A 27085-nucleotide genomic window follows, 5' to 3' on the forward strand; every position below is an offset into this window, starting at 1 on the left:
GGCTCACTAGCATTCCACTCCTTCCCTAATGTGGAGTGGGTGTGATTTGAGGGGTTTGGCCCCCACCCCAGCTGCAGGGGTAAGTCACACTAGTTTGGGCTAATTAGCAGAATCTCATCTCCTTAGCGCAAACAACATTGATTCAAGAATGATCAGGGATCCCAGCCCAAACCAAGCCTTGCTGCAGCAATCAGCCGCTCTTGGGTTTGGGGGGAGGATACGGCGTGTGTCCCAAGGTGGGTCCACCCAGCGAAGCCAGTATTCCTCCTTGATGACTTTGGAAAGAGTCTCTCTCTCGTTCCGGAGGGTGTGATGTGTGAGGTTGGAACCACGAGGGACACCAGCTTGAGAACAAAGCCAAACTAAGGGGCGGGCGGAGCCAAGACGGAGGAGGCGAGTCCGGAGCAAACATACCGGATCTCAGGAGCCCCGTGACTGCTGCTCTTGGCTGACTCGTCACAAAGCATCCAGACGCGTCTCGGCCCTGCGTCCAAGACGCAAAGTTGTGCGGCAACCAAGCCTAGAGCTAAGCAGTCACCAGGAGTGGAGACAAAAGCAGTGAAAGGATGGGAGCGAAAACACGGATCCCGAGAACGAAGCCACGAGTGCAAAGCCGGGCGTTGTGCAAACTATCCCGGGCCTCTGCTGCCCCCTGGCGGACGCCGCGCGGGAGCCCAGAACCGGAGCGCTCTGAGCGAAGCCGACTCCATCCGACACCGCCGCCTCCCAGAGGGCTGCCCTGGGAAGTCACTGAAAACAGCCTGCGGAAGATTTCTCCTGTGTCACGTGGGGGGAAGAACAGCCGCTACCTGTTAGATTGCCATGAGGTTGAATGGCCAAAATGGATAACCGGGACCAGAGTTATCCTCCCACCTGAAAGAAGCAGGAGGAAACCAACAAAACTATAGAAACAACCGTTTTCAAAACCCAGCACACCAGATGCAGAGGACAGTGATCCTACTACCCAGACAGTTTCCGGGCCACAGCACAGGAGGTGCGGGAACCCGGACAGGGCTTGACCCCATGAGCTCACCCTCACGAGTTGAGGGACTAAGCCGAGTCCTCAGGGCAGGCACGGCGTCCCTGGAGGAAGAGGGGGCTGCACAGACACAACTCCAGTGATCCACAAAGGCTGCGGCCAGGGTGCAGCAGGGCGGCTCAGCACGTGCAGGCGAGGAAGCTGCCAGAGGCCCAGAAAGATCCCCGTGGGGCTGGAGGGAAGATCCGCCTGTGTTTGCACAGGGCGGGAACAGCGCCTCCCCCATCAGCCAGACTGCAGGCTCACCACTCAGGAGGCACGGGACAGCCCTGCTTCAGGGGTGGGAGCAGTTATTACTAAACGCAGCTCTATCCCCATCTGAGAAACGTCAAAGGCAGGACCGGAAAGCATCAGACTGTTACAAAGTAACTTAACCGTACCCCAGAACAAAGCCTGAAAATACACACAGGAAAACAAAGACATCCAGCACACAACAAGAAAAAAGTGGCAATGTCTACCACCCAGTAAGAAATGACCATGCATGAAGTGAGGGAGAAAAAAATTACCCATAATGAAGAGAAAATGCAATCAGTGGACGAAGTGCCAGGACACAACCTGTCAAAATGGGTGGGATTTGGCTAAAGCAATACTTAGAGGGAAAATGATAGCACTACACTAGGTTAGAAAGGAAGAGGGATCTCAAATCTCAGCTTCCGCCTTAAGAGCGAATTAAACCCAAAGTAAGAAGAAAGGAAACAAGAAAATTCAGAGCATAGGCCAGGTGCAGTGGCTCAAGCCTGTAATCCCAGCACTTTGGGAGGCCGAGATGGGCAGACTATTTGAGGTCAGAAGTTTGAGACCACCCTGGCCAACATGGTGAAACCCCGTCTCTACTAAAAATACGAAATTTAGCTGGGCGTGGGGGCGTGCACCTATAATCCCAGCTACTCGGGAGGCTGAGGCAGGAGAGTAGCTAAAGCCCGAGACGTGGAAGTTGCAGTGAGCAGAGATCGCACCACTGCACTCCAGCCTGGGTGACAGAGACTCTGTCTCAAGAAAGAAAGAAGAAAGGAAAGGGAAAGGGAAAAGGAGAGAGAAAGAGAGAAAGAAAGATCAGAGCACGAAAGGAAAAGAAAGAGAGAGAAAGAAAGAAGAAAGGAAAGGGAAAGGGAAAAGGAGAGAGAAAGAGAGAAAGAAAGATCAGAGCACGAAAGGAAAAGAAAGAGAGAGAAAGAAAGATTACAGCAGGAAAGGAAGAGAAAGAGAGAGAGAAAGGAAGATCATATCATAAATCAGTGGAATAGAAAGGAGAAAAACAAAAGGGACAAATCAATGAAATTAAAAGCTGGAGTTTTTTGTTTGTTTTTAGAAGATCAATAAAATTGATAAACTCCTGGTCAGGTTGATCCCCCCAAAAAAGAGAAAAGACTCAAATTACTAAAATCAGAAATGGGAATTGTGATATCTATCACTATAGATTCTACAGATGTTAAAAAGAAAATTAAGAGCATATTATGATAAACTTAAGACCAATATATATGACAAATTAAATATAATAGACAAATTCCTTGAAAGACACTATCGGCACTTAAGAGTAAACAGATAATCTGAATTAGTCTTATGTCTATTTTTTACATTAAACTTGTACTTTAAAACCTTCCCACACAGAAACCTCCAGGCCCAGATAACTTTATTATCCAACTTAGGAAGAATGAACATCAATTCCATACACACTCCTGGAAAATTGTAAAAGACAGAACACTTCTCAAATTGTTTTACTCTGGTACCATGACCAAAGACATTACAAAGAACGAAAACTATAGACTATTATCTCTATGAATATGAATGCAAATTTTGTGTGTGTGTGTATATACACACATATATATATATTATTTTATTTTGTTTTATTTGAGACGGAGTTTTGCTCTTGTCCCCCAGGCTGGAATGCAGTGGCATGATCTCGGCTCACTGCAACCTCTGCCTCCCAGGTTCAAGCGATTCACTTGCCTCAGCCTCCTGAGTAGCTGGGATTACAGGCACGCCACCACACCCAGCTAATTTTTGTATTTTTAGTAGAGACAGGATTTCACCACGTTGCCAGGCTGGTCTCAAACTCCTGACCTCAAGTGATCTGCCCACCTTGGCCTCCCAAAGTGCTAGGACTACAGGTGTGAGCCACCGCACCTGGGTCTATATATACACTTTATACCAAAATACACTTTAAACAAAATTTCGGCAAATGAAATCAAATCCAACAGTATGAAAGATCATAACCAAATGAGTTACATGCCAGAAATGCAAGGTTGATTTATAATTTGAAAATCAATTAATGTGATTCAGCATATTTTGAAATTAAAAAAGAGAAACCACAGAAGTGTCACAATAGACATAGTAAAAGCATTTTCAAAAATCTAACATGCATTCTGGACATAAACTCTCTCAACAAACTAGGAGTAGAAGGAGCTTCCTCAACCTGGTACACGGCCTCTACAAAACCTTCTGTCCACATTACCATTAATACTAAAAGACTTAATGCTTTTCCCCTAAGATGAAGAACAAGACAAAACTATGTACTCTTACAACTTCTTTTCAACATTTTTCAACATTTTCTAGCAAATACAATACAGCAAGAGAAAGAAATAAAAGGCATTGAGATTAGAAGGGAGAAGTAAAACTGTCTTTATTCATAGATAACAGGATTTTCTATATTGAAAATTCAACGTGGCCTACACAAAAAGATATTAGAATTAACAAGTGAGTTTAATAAGGTTGCAGGATAGAGGATCAATATACAAAAACCAATTGTTTTATATTTTCACTAGCAATGACAATCAGAAATTAAAATTTAAATCTAGTATCATTTAAAATAGCATCAAAAATATGAAATACTTAGAGATACATTTAACAAATGATATGAATGAACTGTACACTAAAAACCATAAAACATTGCTCAGAAAAAAATTTTAAAGAGCTCAAAAAATGGAAGATACGTTGCATTCATGGATCAGAAAATATAATACCACTAAGATGTCAATTTGCCCTCAAATTGATATAAAGATCAAAAGACCCCCTCCCTGTACCCTAGATTCCTCTCTACCTCCTGGCATCTCCACTTGAATATCTAATACCACTAATATGTCACTTTGCCCCCAAAATGCAAAAAAAAAAAAAAAATGAAACTTCTAGAAGAAAATATAGAGAGAACTATTTGTGAGAAGCTTACTGAGGCGATTCATTCAATGAAATGCCACTCAGCAGTAAAAAGAAATGATCAGTCCCCATATAAGCCCCCAAAGCAGGGAGTAGGGGGGTTTGTAGAAACTGACAAAGTTATTCTGAAAGACAAATGTCCCTAAATAAGAAAAGCTACACATGGCCCAGACACATAAGAGCAACTGAGATTTGACAAAGGTGCAAAGGTAATCCAACGTGGGAAAGATAGTCTATTCCAGTCTATCAAATGGAAACAATTTGATATCCATATGAATCAAAATGAATTAAATTCATATTTTGCAGCACCTACCAAAATTCACTCAAAACAAAACAATGAATCTTCTATAAGCATATATAGGAGGAACTATTTGTGATAAGCTAATGTGGTGATTCATTCAGTGGAATGCTACTCAGCAGTAAAGAGGAATGAACCATCGATACAAGCAACATGGAAAAAAGTCATAATCATTATGCTGACTGAAAGCAGCCAGACAAAAAAAAGGGTTTTTGTTAGATGCTATTTATATAAAATTCGAGCAGACTAAGCTATACTGATGGAAAGCAGATATTTTGTGGAGAGGCTCCCCATGTGCAGAGACGCAATGGGGAGGGCAGAATGGAGGACTAGAAGGGACAGGAGGCAATGTGTGGGGTGACGGATAGGGCCACTATAGTGATTGTGGTGGTGATTTCATAGATGTAGACATATGTCGGAACTTAGATCGTGCACTTTAAACATGTGCAATTTATTCTGTGTTGTTTATACCTAAACAAAGCTGTAAACATTCATAAAGAAGGAAGACAGGAAGGAAGGAGGGAAAGAAGGAAGGAAGGAAGGGAGGGAGGGAGGGAGGGAGGAAGGGAGGGAGGGAGGGGAGACGGAGAGGCAGGGAGGAAGGAAAGGGAGGGACAGAGGAATTTACACCCTTGTGGAAGGAAGGAAGGAGGTAGAAAGGGAGGAAGGGAAGGAGAAAAGGATTCACTCCCTTTTGTCACGTGTTCAGACTCTCAGAAAATATCACTGAGCGTTTTCTCTACAGAAGCTTTCTCCACCTGTCCTTTGGGACACCGTGTGCCTGTAGTTTTCCTCATACTTTCCTGGATGGTCTTTCTCCTTCCCCCAACATTGCCCCAACCTCTCAACTGGCAGCGCCCTAAAACTCAGTCTTCTTTTCTCTAACTCGCCTCCTTTGGTGAGCTCACTGGATTTCATAGCTCTGAATCTCATCTCTACACTGACCACCCTCAAATGTCTCCCTGTAGCTCAGACCTCCTCCCTGAACCCTAGAGTCCTCTCTACCTCTTGGCATCGTTGCTTAAATATCTAGTAGAGATCTCAAACTTGGCATTTTCAAAATTCCCACAAACTATGCTTCCCACTGTCTCCCCATCTTAGTAATTCCCACTGCTCGAGTTAAAAATAGCACACACACAACAAAACCAAAAAAACACAGAATTACCCTTGGCCCCTCTCTTTTTCTCGTTCCCCACTTTCAAATCCTTTGACAAATTTGTCAAGCACATCTTCAAAATTTACCCAAAATCCAACCACTTCTCACCACCTATATAGCTACAGACCCAGCTCAAGCCGGAGTGATTTAGTGTCTGGTCCGATCCCCGCCGCCTTCACCCCTGCCCGTCACTGGCCCTCAATAGAGCAGCTAGAATCTCTCTCACACACCAACTCTTCCAGCTTTTTTTTTTTCCTCTTTTTACAACATTGGCCAGAACCTCAAACACTGTGCCAAACGGAAACAGTTAGAATGGATGTCTTAGTCCATTTGGGCTGCTATAAAAAATACCCTAAATTGGGTGGCTTATAAACAACAGAAATTTATTGTTCACAGTTCTGGAGGCTGGGAATTCCAACATCAAGACACTAAAATATTTGGTGTCTAGTGAGGGCATGCTTTCTGCACACAGTCTCACTGTGTCCTCATACAGTAGAAGGGATGAGGGGGTCTCAGGCCCTAACCCCATTCCTGAGGATTCTGCCCCCATGACCTAATCATCTTCCAAAGGCCGCACCTTTTAATACCATTATCTTGAAATTTTCAATATATGAATTTGGGGAGGCCTCAGACATTCAGACCATAGCATTGGACATCCTTATTTTGTTTGTAATTTCAAAGGAAATGGGTCTTATGTTTCTCCATTAAATATTAGGTTTGTGGTAGGTTTTTTTGAATATAACTTTTGCCAAGTTAGGGAAATTTCCTCCTGTTCCTAGTTTTCTATGCTTTTTTAATCATAAAAGTTGTTGAATTTCATAAAGTACTATTTCTGTATTAATTTTAATTGCCATGTAATTTTTCTTCAGTAGTCTTTTAATATGGCAATATTTTTAACAAAAGATTTTATGACAATTTTTCCAATGATGAGTCACTCTTGTATTCCTAGGTGGCATCCTACTTAATTATAATATATTCTTAACAAAAGATTTGATTCACTTAGCCAAGATTTAGTTTTTCCTTCAATGTTGATATACTAATCAATTGAAGTCTTCTTCTCTTTGTATTTATTGTTCTTATCTGATACTTGAGTTATGAATTACATTAGACTCATAAAATGAGCTACACAACTTTCTCTTCCCATCTTACGGAACCACTTATAAAGATTAGCAATTAACTGTTCCTGAAAATTTAGTAAGATTCATCTATAACCCATCCGGGCTTGGGGATTTGAGGAGGGGAAATCTTTGAATACCACCTTACTTTTCTTAGTAGTTATTAGTTTGTATAACTTTTCTAATATCTTCATCATTAAGCTTTGCCTCTTAGTCTTCCAAAACTGTTTCTATTGAATTCAGTTTTTCAAGTTCATTAAAATATAATTGAATGCACTGTGAGTGTTCAAGTAACAGGAAAATGCTGATCCTTTTAGCTATGTTCACACATTAATCTGGGCTTACTTGAATAGGCCACTCTTCCTCTCAGTTGAAACAGAAAATCGTGTTGTTTGATAACATTGTTTCCCTACATCATTCATGTCCCTAGAATTATGTAGGACAAATAACATTTCCAATAGATTGTGTACCCCACATCCCCCCTTAAAAGTCTATATTGTTTTAATAGAAATTCCCAGAGCCCATGGCTTGCCTGGCTTCTTTCTATGATGAAATGTGGGTGCATCCTTGACAGCCTTCATCATAGCCTTAGTACTGCTCATCACCAAGGGCTGCTGCTATGGCTCCCACATTCTTGGGATGCATCCCTCCCCAGTCAGTGCCTACTGCATTGCTCAAATAATAATGTTGCTATATTGATTACAATTAAACATGTTATCTCTACTGTGTTACAGTAAATCACAGATTCACCAGAGAGAACAGTTACCTAGGACTCCCAGTTAACAGTAATATCTTTCTGGCATACCTCCAGTTTGGGGAATGGCAAGCTGAAACCATAATAACTATTATTCACCGAGCGCCTACAATAAGCCTGACATAAATTGGCACCTGAGATGTGCTACCTAGAAGCTTTATTAAAACCACAGAAGGAAAGCCTTAGTACCTTTGGTTCATTTCTTTTTCTTTTAAAGACAGGGTCTCATTCTGTTGCCCAGGCTGGAGTGCAGTGGTGCAATCATAGCTCCCTGCAGCCTCAACCTCCTGGGCTAAAGCGATCCTCCCACCTCAGCCTCCTGGGTAGCTGGGACCACAGGTGTATGCCACCATGCCCAACATTTTTTTGTATTTTTTGTAGAGATAGGGGTTTCACCATCTTGCCCAGGCTGGTCTTGAACTCCTGGCCTCAAGCCATCTTTCCACCTCAACCTCCCAAAGCATTGGGGTTGCAGGCATGAGCTACCACTCCCGGCTTGCTTCATTGATGAAGAAAATATTGATCACATGGGTTAAGTGACTTGCCTGAGGCCACTTAGAGAGTAAGTTAGAGCAGGGATTCAAATTCGGATCCATCCATTTTTTAACTTCCCACTGAAATCTAGATATTTTTCAATAAAGAATTTTCTAAAGAATAGCCTAAAATCAAATGGTTTCTGCCAAATCAGGTATACCTACAAATTTTTCGGCCCCCAGTTACCATCTTAAGTCCTGGACAGCTATTAAGTGGCATGCCTATGCTGGCTCCTGCCTATTGAAAGCAGTTGTCTGGAGTCTTGCACTGAGAAGGATTGTGCAGCTGAGCTTGGGCTAAATGAGAAATTGCTGAGATTGGATTCTAATGCTGTTTGTATTTATCAGAGTTCTCCAGAAAAACAGAGCCATACGGTATATGTATACATACATATATATATATATATATATATATATATATATATATATATATATATATGAGAAGAGATTAGGAATTGGCTCACACAATCATGGGGGCTGGCAATTTTCAAAGTAAGCTGGCAGGCTGGAAAAGCTGGCAGGAGTTGATGTTGCAGTCTTGAGTTCCAGGACAGTCTGGAGGCAGAATTCCTTCCTCCCCATGGGACCTCGGTCATTTCTCTTAATGCCTTCAGCTGATTAGATGAGGCCTACCCAAATGATGAAGGGTAATCTGCTTCTCTCAAAGTCTACTGATTTAAATGTTTAAAAAATACCTTCACAGCAACTTCTAGACTAGTGTTTGACCAATCAACTGGGCAGCATATCCTAGCCACATTGACACATAAAATTTACCATCACACTATCAAGATCAGGAAGACAATATTCCGTAACAGTGGGTCTCAGACTTCAGCATGAATAGGAAGCCCCTGACGGGCTTGTTAAAGCATGGATTGCTGGGTCCCAGCCCCAGAGCTTCTGATCCAGTAGAGCAGGGCTGTCCCTGTGAGAGTTTCCTGAGATGCCGATGGTGCTGGCCCAAGGCCACACTTTGAAAACGCCCCTGAATGGCGTCATTGCTACATTGCTGAAGTGATTACGCTGAAGCATCATGAACAATCATCATACAATATGTTTCTAATCTACAGTTTCTATATAATAAAAACAATTTGAAAATTTTCTGAATGTCTAAGTTTTCAACAAGAAAAACTTTACTTTTAACCCAGGAAAATATCCACCCAGTCCTTAGCTTCTCATAAGATTATAATAAAAAATTGTCTCAGAATATTATAATAAAAAGTTGTAATCACATACCTTCAATCAATATTCCAAAGTAACAGAGACATGTCACTCACAGAATTAGGAGTTGGGCCACTTGGGTTGGACAAGGTCAGGTCACAATTCTCAATTTGTACAGCTGATCAGAGCCAGATCTCCTGATTCCTGGTGCGTCTCTCCCTCAGGCCTCGGTTTCCACGTCCATAAAATGGGATAGTTTGCTTGTGCTCCCTCCAGACCTGATAATTCTTCTACCCAGGGTTCACATATCTTGACTCAGTTTGAAGCAGAACATTCAGACAGGTAGTACTGTCAGAGAGGAAATGGTCTGCCCTGTAAGGCAGGACTGTGGGTGCGAGAATCTGCGCTGGAGGGCACCAGGTGGAAATTTCATAGGGAAGATTCAGATTGCAGATTGGACACTTCATTCCTCTCACACTGTGAACTTCTACAGGTCCCTGAATTACAGACCCCATTCCTGGGACAAAGCTTAAAAGAAAGAAACAAACTTTAAAGAAATATAGGAAGGTGCCTTTGTTACTATAATGATTATGGATATCTGTTGTAAAAATAATACTTATTGAGCCCATACATCTCACTTGCAGAAATCCAAAGCTATGTTATTAAAGCTGTTTCAGGGTTTCAGAAGATAAATAAATTGAAGGTCTCTAAACCTTCAGCAAAACTGTTCCAACTTGGATTAATCTGGAACTGAATGTCACATTGAATCCTGCCAAGGCTTGGCAGGGCCCCAGGTAGGAATGATTTACATTCCATCCAGAAAAGCGGCTTTGGGTCCTGGAGGAACCAGTGGTTTCAATGCAGCCCTGACCAGGATAGCTGGATGGGAGTGTTCCCCTGGGTGGGCTCAGGTGGCACAAGGGAGATGAGGGTCACCCAGTTAGAGTGCCAAAGCACTGCTCATCTCTCAGTCACTATGACTGGTAGAAATGCCACCAGTTTGTGCAATGAAACAAGTCTACATTTATTCCCTGTGAAGCTGTGATTCCTGGTGTAGCACGCACAATCCAAAGGTCAGAGTTGAGACTCAGTTCTTGCTCTGGGAGTTTGTGGACATGACCTTCAACTCGAAGCCAGAAGAACTGAGTTTAAGACCAGACTGTGCCCCCTTAAGAGCTCTGTGATCTGGGCAAGTCAAATCGCCCCTCTGACTCTTCAGTTCCTCATCAGTAAGTGAGGCTAAATTCCCATGCCTGGTGGACTCCACAGGGGACCCCTCACCAAGAGTTATTAAGGTGCAGCTTCCCCCACTGTTAATACCTACAGTTCATGCAAATCAAAGAAGACTTTAGACCCAACTTGAGTGGCTTTTATAGAGTATGTCACAAAGGCAACAATATGGCATAAAGTACTCAGCACCTTTCCCCACCTGTCAGTGGAAGCCTGGTCCTGAATTGTTTGTGGTGTTGAAGGATGCCAAGGAGGCTCACCCTGTGCTAAGGTGTCACTTCAGGGCACCAGGAGAGCTATAAGAAGAGGTAGATGGGAAGTGGTCATGAAAGAGGGCCTGCCAGAGCTTTTAGGGGAGGCCAGAAGAGGGACTGTGGCCCATGAAAGGGTGAGGAGAAGGCCATGCTGACAAGGACAGTGGCGCACATGTGTGAGGATTTTTGGAAATCTTCTGCTGTGTGTCGCACCCCTGATATGCCAGCCCTCCAAAGACTTAATTAAAGTCTTATGTTATCTTTTTTTTTTCTTTTTTTTTTTGAGACAGAGTCTCACTCTGTCACCCAGGCTGGAATGCAGTGGTGCGATCTCGGCTCACTGCAAGTTCCGCCTCCCAAGTTCACGCCATTCTCCTGCCTCAGCCTCCTGAGTAGCTGGGACTACAGGTTCCTGCCACCATGCCCGGCTAATTTTTTTTTTTTTTTTTTTGTATTTTTAGTAGAGACAGAGTTTCATCATGTTAGCCAGGATGGTCTCGATCTCCTGACCTCGTTATCCTCCTGCCTCTGCCTCCCAAAGTGCTGGGATTACAGGCGTGAGCCACTGCGCTCGGCCAATCTTATGTTATCTTAAAACACTTTTGGAGTAGAAATTACATTTCTCTTCATGCATCACAGTGCTAAGACTAGAGCTTAAGGCTGAGGCTGACAGGCCTAGATAACTTTGGGTTGCATATACTTAAATTAAGAGTCAGCACATTTTAGGATGAAGCTTCAGGTAATGATCATGAAAACAATTCCTAGCATCTCTACAGACTCCATCATTTTCGAAATGCTTTCTCACATTAATGCAATTCCATTCTATGTGTTAAGCAAAGCATAGGCTTTGCTCCCCTACAGAGCTTGGCATTTAATGCAGAGGCTACTTTTCCTAAGCAGAATAACCAAAAGAATTCCATGTCCAACTACAGCAGGATAAGGAAAGCTGTGAGGTATTTTATTAATTAGAAAATGCTGGATCCTCCTGTCTAGCTGAGGTAAGGATGAACTTTGACCTCAGAGCCTGCATATGGTAGTGTTTATGCAGAGATGTAGTCCCATATAGACAAATAAATATGGTTGTCTTTATACATATATGTGTATACACACACACACACACACACACACACACACACACATCTCACTTAGCTAGACACAGCCCCATCTTGAGGGCAGAGAGTGGTCTTGTCTTTCCAGTTCACCTCTTCCTTCCAGTATCCAGAGGTGACCAGTAAGTGTTGGTGGTGGAGAGAATGGTGCTAAGGAGAATGGGCTCATCTGTGTTACTAGACTGTTAGCGGGAAACAGAAGCCATCTGATGACAGGTCACCTATCTTTGTGACTGGGTGAATGAGTTGGGGTGGGGGCAGCTTTCGAGCTTTCATACAGCTCTAAAGACAAGGCTGGTCCACCTCTAGTCTGAGCTCCATACCAGGCTCTTGCCAGCACCTTCCTCCCCACTCGCCAGTGAATGAGGTTCTTCTCATTACTCTCCCTTCTCATACGCATGTATTTCTGACGCGTCTATACAACAGCTCTGGGCCTTGATCCACCCATATCAGCCCAGTTCGTCTACAGGTCACCCTTGTGTTTCTCACTGTGCCTGGCAAGGGCACCACAGCAGGGCTCATGGGTGTAAAGGCAACATGGTTACCAGGGGAGGGGTGCGTGAGTGTACAGGAAGGAGGACATGGAAGGCACAGGTGGTGGGCCAAGGCCTGACCTGACAGGGGAACCAGTGCAAAAGGCGGCCTTGTCCTCCTGGCCAGGACAGTGCCTAGAAGATGCCCACTGTGTGGCCAGTTCTGGTCACTCCCCTTACAGTAAGGGTACCATGAAACAAGAGGAAGAGAATCAACGGGCAGAACTAACCCCACACATTGGGCAGACCATGCATGAATTGTGGTAAGTATAAAAACACAATGGCCTCCCAGGTCTACCAAGCCAAGTCACTGCTACAGTATGGGCCAGCAGAGCAACAACCTACTGGGTCTGGGCACCCACCTCGTCTTTCCAGGCCTGCTGAGGGGGCTGGTTCCTTTCACTCCCCCTGTATCCCCCACCCTGCTCCAGCAGCACAGTGTCCAAAAGCTCGGTACCTATCAGCTCAGTCCACAACAGTGCACAGTCCGCTTCTCAGTGGAAAGACTTCTGCCCTAATCGCCCCCTCCAGCAGGGCTGGCAGGTATACGACCATCGGGGTGCTGCCCCTGTCTCCGGTCTCCAGGCTCCAGCACCCTGCACCTAGCAGGGACTGCAGGATAAATGCTCCTCACCAGCTTCTTTGTATCCAGTCCAGATTCCTTTCTCCTTCAAGGGCAGGTGGGAAGTTTGCATTTCCCAGCCTCCTTCCAAAAGTAAGGAAAAGCTAGCAATTCTCATTAATCAAGACAGCAATAAATCCAAGCAGACAGGACTTCACTCCTCTCTCACTGTGAGGTTCTACAAGTCCCTGAATTACAGCCCAAATTCCTGGGATGGAGCTTAAAAGGAAAAAACAAACTTTAAAGAAATATAGAAAGATGGCTTTGTTACTATAATTATTATGGATATCTGTTGTAAAGATAATACACACTGTGCTCATATATCTTACTTGAAGAAATCCAAAACTATGTTCACCTAAGCCACATTGAGAGCTGAATTATCATTTGTAAGAGACCAAATTCTTTTATCAAAGTAACAGGATAACTTTCAAATGTGTATTTATTTGTGGGGCTGGGCCAACAGCCAGAAAATATCTAAATGAGAACTCAGATTCATCTAAACTTGACATTTTCAGTTGATCTAATGGTTAATTTGTATTCAGTCCACTGACTCTTCAATGGCTTCTAATTAGGAGACAAGCAGAGAATTCCGAGTCCTGTGGTTTGCGATCTGGGTGCCTTATCTCTTAGATGGTTCTAGGCTATCCACATGGAATATTGGAAAGTGGGACAAATGGAGTCAGGCCTGGAAAGGAGATGAAAGGAAAGACAGTGGCATTGAGTGACTATAGTTAATGACAATGTATTGTATATTTCTTTTTTTTTTTTTTTTCTTGAGATGGAGTCTCGCTCTTTTTCCCAGGCTGGAGTGCAGTGGTGCAATCTCTGCTCACTGCAACCTCCACCTCCCAGGCTGAAGCAATTCTCCTGCCTCAGCCTCCCCAGTAGCTGGGACCACAGGTGTGCACCACCATGCCCGGCTCATTTTTATATATTTTTTTAGTAGAGATGAGGCTTCACCATGTTAGCCAGGCTGGTCTCGAACTCCTGACCTCAGGCAATCCGCCCGCCTCAGCCTCCCAAAGTGCTGGGATTATAGGCATGAACCACCACGCCAGGCCTGTATATTTCAAAATAGCTGAGAGAGGACTTTTAATGTTCCTAACATAGAGAAATGATAAATGCTCCAGGTGATGGACACCCCAATACTCTGGCCTGAACATTACATGTTACACGCATGTAACAAAATTTCACGTGTACCTCATAGATATGTACAAATATGTATCCATTTTCTTAATTTAATTTTTTTTTTTAAAGAAGGGTGTCAGAAAGCCAAAATTAGATGCTGCACAGCAAGGTTTGAGTTAAGGGCAGTGCTGGAAAACAGAACAAACCCTTGTGATCATGCCTCTCAGCCAGGTCAGGGACCCATTCCTGCAGTCAACAGCTGGGAAGGCGTGGAACCTGGGAGGGGGCAGCCTGGGGAGGGGAAAAGGCCGCTTGGAGGTGGAGGGGAGGCCTCCTCGCTCACCACCCAATGGCAGAGATGAGGCGTTGGAGGAGCAGAGAGGAAAAGTCCCTGTGCCGCAGCAGCTCTCTGCCAGTGCGCATGCGCACATGTCCGTGAAGCACCGCGCTGGGGTTGGATCCGCCTGCCTCAGCCTGGCTGAGCTGCAGGAAGATCGGTATTCAGGCAGACAGCATACGCAGTTTGGAAGAAAGCAAAGTGCTTTGCAAGTGAAGGGGAGCGGAACATGCCACCTTAAAATCTGTCACTTTGGCATAAGGATTAAGTGGAGCTGCCGGCAATTGAGAAGAAGCAGATACAAGAGAAACTCTCCGCCCTCACCTATTTACCAAAAAGCTGGACATAAATTTGTCAAGGTGTGCCCCCAACCCTCTCTACCGGGAAGGATGGAGTTAATCACCAGACACAACCCGAGCCCCTCCTCAGCCTGGAGAGGGCACCAGAGGAATCTGCACAGCACGTCCTGGTCCCACTGAAGCCCTTCCCTTCCCTCAGCTCCCCGTAGGGTGGCCTTCCCGCCCTGCGCCTCCCCAGAAACTCAAGCCCTTCTCCTCTGTCTTGTCACTTCTCTAAACAAGCATTCTCTTGTGAGGTGCTATGAAAGCTCGAGCTCTGGCCGCCCCTTGGAGTTACTCACTGCGGACGTTCCCATGGGTGTGCGTGATGCACGTGGTAATAAACTCGTGTCTGTTTTTCTCTCGTTAATCTGCCTTTGTCAGTCTCTTTCAGAGCCCCAGCCAGAGAACCTAGAGGGGTAGAGGAAAGAAGATTTTCTCCTCCCTACAGAATCAGACAGGCCTGCACTCGAATCCCAGGCATGCCGGGTGCTCGCTGGGTGCTGCTGGTGGAGCCCCTTCTTCCCTGTGTCCGACTGTCCTCATTGGCAAGGCGAAGGCAGCAACACCGCCTGGAAACGAGCCGGCTCTCCACAGTCTCAGCTGTTTGCATCCTCCCTCGTCCCTGTCACTCCCTATGTCTGAGGGTGTCCCGGGGACGCTGCTGCCCTGTGGGCACCTGGGACAGTTCTGCCTCATTCCCCCCACTCCTCATGTCCAGGGTTGCTCTAGGGGGCGTCCTTAGAGAATCTTTTCCCGTCCACACCCGAGCCCTCAAATTCCCCAGGCGAAGCTTCCTCAGCTCAAGGGATTTCCCCAGGACTACCTCCCACCCAGAACCCCTTCCCACCCTCCACTTTAGACTTTCTCATGCCTGCTGGGTTTCCTGGGGTCTAGCCACGACCTCAAATCTAAAGTCTCCCCTTTTCTCCATTTTACTCCCTTCTTTCTTTCCTCCCTCCCTCTCTCTTTTCCTTCTTTCCTTTTTTATTTACCTTACTTCCCCTCCAACCCGGCCTTCCCTCTCCCAGTTGAACACTCACTCATGAGCAGGACCTTCCTAGCTCTGATTGTGTCTTACTAGCAAAGACCCTGTCCATTGCCTGGTTCTCCTCTCAAATCCTTTGCCCTGGATCCTGGGAGGTCATACCCTGGGGCAGGCTCCACCTCCTTACCTCCGGACACTGTCACAGTTGGCAACTCTAGTGGACACCTGGTGTGACACAGCGAAGTGGGGGAGATGGGTTCGTCTTTTCCAGGGAGCCCCTCACGCCTGCCAGCTCCAGGCCTGGCTCGCCAGCCCTCTGCAAATCCACCGGCAAACTCACACACTCCGGTGCACTCCCATCGCTCACGTTACCAGAATAGGTTCCTAAGACTGGGAGTGAGAGAGGGCAAGGCACCCAGGGCCACGTGGAGCGGGGATGCCACAGCGGGGGACCCGTCCGAGATAGTTTCAATGGTCATGGTAAGAAACGATCAGTGCCTGAGGCGTGGCAAGAGTGAAGAGAAGGGAGGGATGAGAGCTGGGAGGAAGGAGAGGCCACTGGAAGGCAGGTGTGTGGATAAGCTCAGCAGCAGGCTCTGATCAGGGTGTTGGGTTAGAGGTGGGGGTCTAATAAAGGGAAGAGCTGTTGATGGGGGAGATGGTGGGGTCCCTTTTGGGCAGGGAAGGACAGACATGCCTGTGGGACACCTGGGTGAGGACATCAGGAGGTAGGGGATGGTGTCGTTCTGGAAATCACTCCAAATGTACCCCAAGAACAGAAGATTTCCCAAGGGTGCTAAGGAAACCTTCCTGCTTGGTCTCCTGGTAGAGAGCAGGTGTCTAATGGGGAAATCGGGGATGAGGCTAGACGAGGAGTCAGGGTGAGGTGGGCGGAAAGCCCAGAGCCGTGATCTAAAGACCTGGCTCCAGCTAGGCCCCCCACCTCCCTTGTGTCCTCAAAAGCAAGCCACAGATGCTCAAGCCTCAGTCTGCCTGTCTGCAGAAGGTGGGAAGAGCTCCTCCCTCACACCTCTATCTGGGGGAATGAGGAACCGGGAGGCCTGACAGACCATGGGTTCTGAAGGCAAGGCAGGCCTTAGGATAGAAGGGACAGCTTCAGACCAGGGTGGAGGCTCCCGGATGAAGAGGAGGAAGCTGAAGTTTCAAGACATGGGGCATTGTCATATCATTTTATTCAGCGTAGCTGCCTTAAGCAGCCAGACCAGTCCATCCCGGAACATGGGACAGGCTTCTTTCTCTTCTTAATCACATGTGACAGCTTCACTGGACACTTGCTGTAGCCTCTGAGTCCTTGTGGACCTGCTCCTTTCCTCTTAAGCAATTCAGACTTAAATCCCAGCTGAGGAAAGTCTCATGAGAGGCAGGTGTGCTCTGGGCCCTGGGACCCGGAAGGTCATAGGATGCGGCAAGGACTCACTGATGGGTTGGGGATGTTTCCTTCCAAGGCTGGCAGGCTGAGACATGCCCTGTCTGGGTGACCATGCAGCTCCCAGGCCCAAGTGTGACCAGGGGAGTCTGCAGAAAGCACAGAACATGCAAAACAGAGCATCACCTGCTCCTTCAGCCACTGGAAAACAGTGCCATCAGCGAGACCAAGATGAGCTGCCCATGCTCCAGGTGCACAGAAGGCCAGATTGAACGCCATCAGCCCAGAATAGTAGTGTTTGGTGTTCACACCTTTTCAGAGCTCCAGCGAAGACCAGAGGAAGTGGAAGTGCGTGATTCAGGGCCACCCTTCACATCCCCCACAAGGGCAAAGGGGAAGTGGTCTTTGGTGATAAGGGACCAACAAAAACCAGAGCTGCCGACACACACTGGAAATCTGGCACCAGAAAAGACCCCCGAATCCAGTCATCGTCTGGACAGTGAGAGTATGCCCAGCCACCTGGATCCAATGGTGGACAGCACTTGCAGTCAGAGCCCCCAGTTCACACTGCACATGCCCCCTCGCTTCACCTCCAACCTTAGAGAGAGAGCTCACTTCACGGACCCAGGCTCCATGCCCTTGTCCCTCAGGGCTGTGGCTGACATCAAGCACTGACAGGTGTTGGCCCGTGGTCAGTGCTCAGTAACTTGCAGTTTTTTCTTTTCCTAAGGCATCACTGCTCTCTTCCTGTCCTCTCTTTCTAGAGGCAAGGCTTCTCCACAACCTTCACCCAGCACAGCAACAAAGGCCCAAGGGAGCAGGTTCCCCCTCCCCTGCCTGTGGCCAGCCAACAACTTTACCTCTCCAGGCTCAGCTTTCCACCTGCCCATGAGTGGTGAAACAGACAATGTGTGCAGCTGCTTCTTTCAAAAATCTTCGGACTGCCTGTCCCACACTGCACAGCTCTCTAGCAATAGATGCTCACGTTCCCGTGTGGTCTCAATGCCCAGGAATTCCCTGGCTGCTTTCCTGGGCAGGTGACCCTGAGCAGCTCAGTATTCTGGCTGAGACACCTCGTGACAAATTTGGCTTCAGACTCTAACCTGCAGCAGACTCCAAGCTCAACAACTCAGTATGAGAGAGGAAGTCCTAGACATTCTGGGAAAACATCATTTCTGGAAAAATTCAGACTAGCAAGTGGTCTAAATAACGATAATGGATATGCTTATTATGTACAAATAATGAGAGACCAGAATTGTGATAGGGTCCCTCTCTTCCTGTTACCAGTATTTTCAAATGCACAAAACATCATAAAATGCATAAAACGCCTCTAAGCAACACTCCACTGCCATTTAGTCTCCCTCACTGATGCCATTTACATATCCATTAAAGGGTTCTTACACGACTTCTCCACGCCACTTTCCTCTGCTCACACGGGTGGTTTATGCTTTCTGCCTGCCCTCCTGGGCTCTGTGACATAGTCAGGAATGCAGTCTTTGTAAGAGTCTGTGCTGAGAAGATTGGTAAATTGCGTCTGGCAAATCCACGGAGATGCCTGCTCACACCCTGATTCTGTTGTTTTCACTGGAGCATCACACATGCCCCAGGCCTCCGAGGAGGTCTTTCTCACCACTCTTCTGTCCCAACACAAGCAGGTCCTGTCATTCAAAGGGCAGCTCAGAAAACAACGGGCACAGAAAAAAATGGACAGTGGAAGGGTGCTAAGAATGAGCCCATGTGGTTTTCATAACGCCATTACATCTTTCCAATACCAATTCTCTGACACCAACTGCATGTCAAACAATTCAATTCCATTCTGACACTGAACACCTAGAGTTACTCAGCCCCCACAGGGTGAGGCTCCATCCCACAAGACTGCCCCCATTCAGACCCAACTGCAAATGCAATCCCCAGGACACCCACACTTCTGCCTGGCCAACTACAAATTTGGGGGTGCCCATGACTCCCCCTTAGGTTTAACAATGCACTTGAATGACTCACAGGACTCAGGAGGACACTCTTCATAATTACAGTCATATTCTAAAGACACAAATGAATGGAAGGGGGCACCGGGCAGGCTGGATGGGGAGTCAGTGCACGGAGCTCTCACACCCTCTCTGGGTGCACCTACGTGTCCCCCAGCCCTGAAGCTCCATTAGCCTCCTGCTTCCGATATTTTACTGAAGTTTTGTTATGTAGGCATCATGATTAAATCATCAGCCATTGGTGACTGCACTCCATCTCCAGATCCTCCTCCTTCCCGGAAGGTCAGCAGACAGGCTGCAAGTTCCCACCCTCTAATCCTGTGGCCAGTCCCTCTGGCAACCAGCTCCATCCTGAGGCTGTCTCGGGGCCTGCCAGGCATTGCCTCCTTGGAATAAACTTGGGTATAGTCAAAGGGGCTCATTATGAAAAACAAAAGAAAACATTCCTGTCACTCAGGAAATTCCAAGAGTTTTAGGAGCTCTCTGCCAGATCTAGGTTCAAAGACCAAATATATATTTCTCATTTTGCCACGCAGGCAGAGCTGGGTTCACCTGGCTGACTCTCAAGGCATTGGCTCTCAGTGAGCATCAGGGTCCTGCAGGGGCGCCCCCACATCAGAGCACAGCTCCTAGTTTCTGTCAAGCTAAATGTCCATCAGCCCTGTGACTCAGCAATCCCACTTGTGCGTATTCACCCCTGAAGAAATACGAGCCTGTGTCTACAAAAGAGAACTGTACCTGAATGTTTGCAGCAATTTTCTTCATAACAGCCAAAAAAGTCCTAGAAACAATGGGTGAATGGCTAAATGAATTGTGGTCTAATAAAAGGAAATGAACTACTGGTATGAAAACCTGAATGTGTGAATCTGATCCAGCAATCCCACTCCTGGGTATCTAACCAGAGGAAAAGAAGTCATTATTTGAAAAAGATACTTGCACATGCATGTTTATAGCAGCACAATTCACAAAAGCAAAATCATGGAATCAAACCAAATGCCCATCAATCAACAAGTGGATAAGGAATCTCTGGCATATATATATGATGGAATACTACTCAGACATAAAAAGGAATGAATTAACAGCATTTGCAATGACCTAGATGAGATTAGATACTATTATTCTAAGTGAAGTAACTCAGGAATGAAAACCCAAACATCATATGTTCTCACTGATATGTGGGAGCTAAGCTATTAGGTCGCAAAGGCATAAGAAATGATACAATGGAATTTGGGGACTTGGGGGGAAGAGTAGGAGACGGGCGAGGGATAAAAGAAAACAGATATGGTGCAGCGTATGCTACTCAGGTGATGGGCGCACCAGGTTCTTACAAATCTCCACTAAAGAACTTACTCATGTAACCAAATACCACCTGTACCCCAATAACTTATGGAAAAATAAAATTTAAAAAAAGAACTCAGTACATATTTGAAGATTTAAAAAAATTAAGAAGCCAGACACAAAAAGGTACATATTTTATGGTTCCTTTTATACTACATCTAGAATCATCAAAATGAATCCACAGAGACTGAAATAAAGTATGGTTGTTGGTGGCCAATTGGAAAGGGGTAGAAAGGGGCTTCTTAGAGGCTGACAATGTTTCACATTTTGTTTTGAGTGTAGTTAAACAGGTATAAATGATTATCAAAATTCTGCAAACTGAAGGCTTAAATCACGCGTGTTACTGTGTCAAAAGACAAAATTACAACAGATATAAAGATCTCAATTGGCTTTACTTACGATTCTAGAATCAAGCAACACTTCATTCTATACAACAGAATAAGTGTTCCCATGAGCTGGGCGAGGAAGTTGGTTTTGTAGACAGAGAAAGGGCTGAAAAAAGCAAAAAGAAAGAACAAAAAGCACATTGTTCATTTCAACATTACTTTTCTTATAAGATGGGACCCGGACAGAATAACAGAAAAATAACAGATTGATTAACACCAGGTTGCTTCAGGTTACTCTTTTATAAGGATTGAGGGCATGAACTTCATCATTACGCCAACTGAACATTGAAAGCGAACCTGTGTGGGAAATGTGGATGTTATCTCATCTGATTTCTCAGCCCAGATAATTACTCAGTTTCAGTTTTCTGAGCATGGCTGACTCCATTTTGATTTTTAGTCTGGCCTGTTGGGGCCTAATGCAGTTTAGTTCAAAACAATGGCCTCCTATAATTTTTGTTTAACAATCGTGTGTTGTATGTACCTCAATTTTTTAAAAGCCCTCTCAGTGGGGATCATGGGTCTAGGAACCATATGGAGGTCTGTGACTCAGTGGGAAGGGGTGGCCCTGGCCTGTGAAGACTGAAGGGGGTCCATGTCCCAATCCTACAGGCCCTGAAATCCAGAACTGAGTCAGATGTGGTGACTTGCTGAGGAAGGGTTTCGAAGCCCACACGGACACTGCTCTACCCTTGCCTCTCCCTGAATCCTCTGAAGGCAGCGTCTATGCAGTGCATTCTCGGATCACTATCCAGTGCCTGCCTCCCTCTAGTCCTGAGCTCCTAAATCAGAAACTCCTCGGACACAGGGAGTCCAGTCATTTGTTTCACCTCTGTGTCCCCCAAGCCTGGCAGGGACAGGCTGACCAAAGGCGTTCTGTGAATGCAGAATTGTTCTAAATTGCTAAATACCAACATCAGCTATGGATGACTCAGAAAACCCAACCTTACACACCAAAGTATCCAGGTAGTCAACACACTTTGACTATATTAGCCACATAATTATACCATTTCTACACCCCAACGGTGGTGGGGAGGGAAGGATTTCCTACGCCACACAACAGAGAGACAGCAGATGCAGGCCACTCACTCAGGAGTTTTGTTGTAAGGGCAGCAGAAAAATGGGGCGGGGACTACAGGGTGATGTTCTCCCTCTCTCTCTCTCTCTCTCTCTCTCTCTCTCTCTCTCTCTCTCTCTCTCTCTCTCTCTCCCCTCCCCCTTCTCTCCTGCAGGAAATTCCAATCATGTATGCATTTTATGAAGCAATTGATTAGGGAGAAAAAAAGCTACCTGAAGTCCTCTCTCATCCATTAACTTCTACTTTCTCCAACTTTCTTTTGCAATGAAGTACAGTGAGACTAGGGTTTACAACTCCTGCTTCAGACCTGTTGGCCCCAAGATAGACCTGCGTTCAGCTGGCCCTGACAAGTCCCTTAGGTAGGTCAGAGCTGAGGGTCTGCACAATTTCCAACATCACCATGTAAACATCTTGCTATGGTTTGAGTATGTCCCCTCCAAAATTCATGTGTTGGAAACTTAATCCCCAGTGCAGCAGTGTTTGGAAGGTGGGACCTTTTGGGAGGTATTTAGGTCATGAGCACTGCACCGCTATAAAAGGGCTTGCGGGAGTTTGTTCTCTGTCCTGCTCTTCTGCCATGTGAGGATGAAGCATTCAAGGTGTCACCATTCAAGGTGTCACCTTGGAAGCAAAGAGACCAGGCCCTCACCTGCCACTGCCTTGAGCTTCACCTTCCCAGCCTCGAAGAGCTGTGAGAAATAAGTTTCTGTTCTTTACAGATTACACAGTGTAAGGTATTTTGTTATAACAACAGGAACAAAGACATCCCCCTGTCATGGGGTACATATATTGAACTTTGATTATCCAAGTATACCAACCTAGGCATGTGAGTGAGACCCCAGCTGGGCAGCAGAAGCACCCACACCCCGTGGCACGCCCCGTGGCAGCAGGAGCAAGATCAGCACTGGGGCCGCTCCACAGGAAACAGCTTCTGGCCCCAGCCATGGAGTCCTCCAGTCTCAGCCCATTGGGAAGGGAGAAGAAACTGCACTAAGCTTGCAGGCCTAAGTAAGCATCCTGTGAGTGCACTACACTTATTACAGGAACACGGCCCTCCAGAGGAGAGAAGGGCCTTCTTGCAAAAGACAAAGGACTAAAGCCATTATTCAAGCAGTAAATAGAAATGAGATTGATTTTATAAAACACATGGTTACAAATCAAATGATGCAAGTTCCTTTAACAAATATTTTTAGGGGCACCTACTGTAAACCAAGCATTGTGGTAGCCACCAGATAAAGGGGACTGAGTTGTATTAAACATGGTTCCTGCCTCCCAGGAACTCACAGAAGCAGGGGTGGAGGGAGTCAGGCACACAGACAGCTGAAACTGCTCAGCCCTGTGCTTAGCATCTTGTGAGTGTTCAGAAATATTAGCAGCACATGTAATCCCAGCACTTTGGGAGGCTGAGGCAGACGGATCACCTGAGGTCAGGAGTTTGAGACCATCCTAGCCAACATGTGAAACCCCATCTCTACAAAAATACCAAAAAAAAAAAAAAAAATTAGCCGGGCGTGGTGGCAGGTGCCTGTAGTCCCAGCTACTCGGGAGGCTGAGGCAGGAGAATGGAATGAACCCGGGGGGCGGAGCTTTCAGTGAGCCAAGATTGCGCCACTGCGCTCCAGCCCGGGCGACAGAGCGAGAATCCATCTCAAAAAAAAAAAAAAAAAAAAATACAAAAATTAGCCGGGCTTGGTGGTGGATGCCTGTAATCCCAGCTACTCAGGAGGCTGAGGCAGGAAAATTGCTTGAACCCAGGAGGCAGAGGTTGCAGTGAGCCGAGATTGCGCCACTGCACTCCAGCCTGGGTGACAGAGCGAGACTGTCTCAAAAAAAAAGAAAAGAAAAGAAAAAGAAATATTAGTGGTTACAATGAGACAATGATGATGATTACAATGAGATAAGGGCAACCATAGCAAATGGATGAGATTTTCTGGCAGCATTGAAGATAAATGGCCACGTCTATTGGGGTGGTCAGGGAAGGGCTCATGGGTGCTGGGATGCTCACGCTGGTGGGCAGACAAAGAGACAAGATACAGAGGGCCAGGAGAATGTCTGGGTAGATTGCAAAGGGCCTACCAGTTCTCCTGGGTAGTCAGAAGCCCTTCGGGAGGACTGAGGAATACACCAAGGACCCAGAATCCTGGCCCAAGGACCAGGTCAGTTCACATTAAACCTTGTGCTGGCACCATTGCTATAAGCAGTCTTCAAGAGAAGCTATGTTGTTGTTTTTGCCCAAGCAAGGGTCCCTTCCCGTTTTATCATCACATATTTGAAGTGAATATCAGAGATGAAGATTAATTAATTGCAAAGAAAAATTATTATGCAATGATCTGTACAATGTCCACCATAAGTCTTACCAATTCCTTGGACTTCTCCTAATGGAAAACCATATAACAATTTCAAATGGCATTTTACCAGAGTCCAGGGCTTTTCAAATCCATCTGCACTCTGGTTCCACAAATGAAAAGCATGCAAGAATTAGAGATGAAGTGTTGGGTGTGTGATGCTTTGTATCTCAATTCCATGGATAGCTGACTCCATGCTGGTGTCCAGGATGGCCTGTCCTCCAGGTTCTCAGGCTCTGGATTGTGCCTCTAGCACTCACTTCACTGTGGATCCCAATCTGAGGATGGCTTTACCAAGCGTGCACAAGCCCCTCCATGGGAGAAAAAGAAGTGATCTCGATTCAGAGGGTGGACTCTACTTGAGCTCCTTAGGCAGGTGTGAAGGTCGCTAGGGCTTGTTCTGACTCCATAAGCAAAAGCAGCAGTTCTCTGAGAGCCTGACCTCATAAAAGGATGGGCGTGGTGGGAGACAGGGCTCTCCTTCCCTCTTCCTTCTCTTTCACTCATTAATCTTCCTGGACTTTTCCAACTTCCTGCATTCCCAGGAGACAATACACCTGATGTGCAAGCTCAGAGCTTCTTTTGTTTGATTGGGCTTTGATTTTGTTTCTAATACATTTTCCTCTGCAGGAAGAAGTCTAACTCCACTAATTTATTCTAGGGAACCATCAAGTGACATCCAACAGTGTGCATTCAGCACAGCAAGAGGGCTGCAGACACAGAGCCCAGGCCACAGGCTGTCCAGCTCACCCCACCACACTGATTACAGGACAGAGCTTCTGCCTTCCAGCTCTGCGAGAATGATGGTGCCAATGAGATGGGTGGTCAGGGAAAGCAGAGCCACATGGAGGGCATGGCCTGTGTACCCTGCAGAGGCCATGGCAGGGCCTGGTTCTGGCTGCTGCAACTATATCACAAACACATATGGGAGTAAACAGACTCCTGAAGTTGAAAGAAACTGAGAACTGCAAGACAGGACCACTTTATGGAGGACCTGAGATTCTGCTCAAGAAACTAGAGTAGGACAAGACCTACCATGCTGGACTTGGTCACTGGAAAGCAGAGAAGAGTCCATGTGCAAGCTGACTCGGCTGGACTCCCAAACCCATGGCCCTTCGCTATACCCCCAGTCAAAACGGAGACAAACTTGGTCACAGGCAGTTATGCACTGCAGTTGACTTGTGCTAGCTTGTGAGAGCTGATGGTTAAATTTTCAGCTATTTTTAGAGCTGGATGTTAAACAAAGCCATCATTAAGTTATTTTCAATTAAATAAATTAGATAAAGTGTAATAAGTACCCCAAACTCATCACATCCTAATTATTTGACTACGTTTTCCTCTTATCTCTGCTCTTGGTCATTTAGTGTCTATTGCACTACACAGGGGAGATGCTGTCTAACATTGTGATTCTAGGCATCTCTTCCCAGCCCTGCACTCAGTGACATCATGTGGGTGGCTTGAAATCAGCCACAGTAGGAGTATTTATACCACAGAAATTGGCAAATGCTATAGGTAAGGGCTTTTTCCCTGGACAGTTTTTGTTAAATACTTACCTGCCAGCACACTATTGTCCCAGAGCTTCATGAGGGCTGCCTACATGACCTGCAGGGGAACTAGAAAGCTGTTGAAATCTTACACTGGGGAATAACATGGTTATTCTGTGTTTTTGAGCCACCCCCTGGCTGTCGTGTGGCAGACAGTCAGCCAGCAGTCGATGGCACCGCATCAGAGGATAAATAGGCAGACCCTGGGGCCCCAGCAGCCGATAGGGTGGTAGCCAGGGAGGTGGAAAGGGCAGGGCTTCTGTTGAACTGGGAAGCACTAGAGGAAAACTAGAAGCAAATGCTGGCCCTGAGGTTTTAAGCCTGAGATACAGGCAGATGCCAATGGTATCAGCCAATTTAGAAGCCTCAGAAGGCTTAAAGCAAGGACCAGGACTGAGAAGAGATGAGCCGCTTTAGGCTGTTCTGAAGCAGAAGAAACTGATGGTGCCCATGAACTTGAATACAGGGTGCAGGCTAAGAAGAGATTGGAGGACAGATGCTCACATGCTTAGCTAGCAGATCATGTCTGTGCCCAGTAGTTTTTACAGTTTTACAAGCCTGTCACTCCCTGTCACTCTGAGAGCCTGACTTCATAAAAGGATGGGTGTGGTGGGAGACAGGCCTCTCCTTCCCTCTTCCTTCTCTTCCACTCATCAATCTTCCTGGCCTTTTCCACACCACACCCAGAAAGCAGGGGTGTAACTGGGTCCACCAGGGCAGCAATTGCAGGTTCAGCAAGGAGCCTCTGGATCTGTGGCCAGCGCAGACCAGACAGGCACACTGTGCCAGGGTGGGGAGAAGTGGAGATGCAATGGTGACCCCAGGCACAGGCCCCCCTGGGAGGAGGATGTGGGAGGAGAAGGCTGCACAGGTGAGGGTTGAGCCTGGGGTCAGGCTCTACCTCCCTATGAAGTGTGCCCCGCCAGCTACTGGCTCTTGGCCACCCTGGGAGGGATGAGGTCAGCTTCCCACTCTGACCCAGGACTGGGGAAGCAGAATATGCCTCGGTGCAGAGGTGAGGAGACAGGAGAAGAGGCCACACCTGTGTGGGCACACCTGCCAGCACTGGGACAAGGTCTAAGTAGGGTGGAGTGGGAGGCTGGGAGGAGTTCAAGCTAAGAAAATGGGGTGACCCCAAGGCAGAGGCCTGTTGTCCAAGTGCAGCTGTTCAGAGGCCATTTTCCCTGGTTTGTGGTAGGAAGGGCCTTCATGTGTATGCGGTTCCTGCTCGCCCTCTAGGCAGCCTGAGGCATTGGAGAATACAGAGCCAGAGCAGGAGGACC

At 46.4% G+C, this 27085-nt stretch overlaps 1 long non-coding RNA gene across 1 annotated transcript in view, besides 1 other annotated feature; it reads right to left on the minus strand.

Annotated features, from left to right (window-relative positions):
- The window catches only part of TMEM72-AS1 (TMEM72 antisense RNA 1), a 148666-nt gene that overhangs the window by 53333 nt on the left and 68248 nt on the right, over window positions 1-27085 (minus strand). The gene's annotated exons all lie outside the window — the stretch shown is intronic.
- Window positions 14698-15624: an enhancer, noted in NCBI's record as "H3K4me1 hESC enhancer chr10:45374502-45375428 (GRCh37/hg19 assembly coordinates)". NCBI's record gives its function as "activates a minimal SCP1, AML or CMV promoter by ChIP-STARR-seq in naive H9 embryonic stem cells {active_cell/tissue: H9 hESC(naive)}" and the evidence as "EXISTENCE:reporter gene assay evidence [ECO:0000049][PMID:30033119]".

The sequence above is a fragment of the Homo sapiens genome, chromosome 10 (assembly GCF_000001405.40).
Source record: "Homo sapiens chromosome 10, GRCh38.p14 Primary Assembly".
NCBI classification, from domain to species: Eukaryota; Metazoa; Chordata; class Mammalia; order Primates; family Hominidae; genus Homo; species Homo sapiens.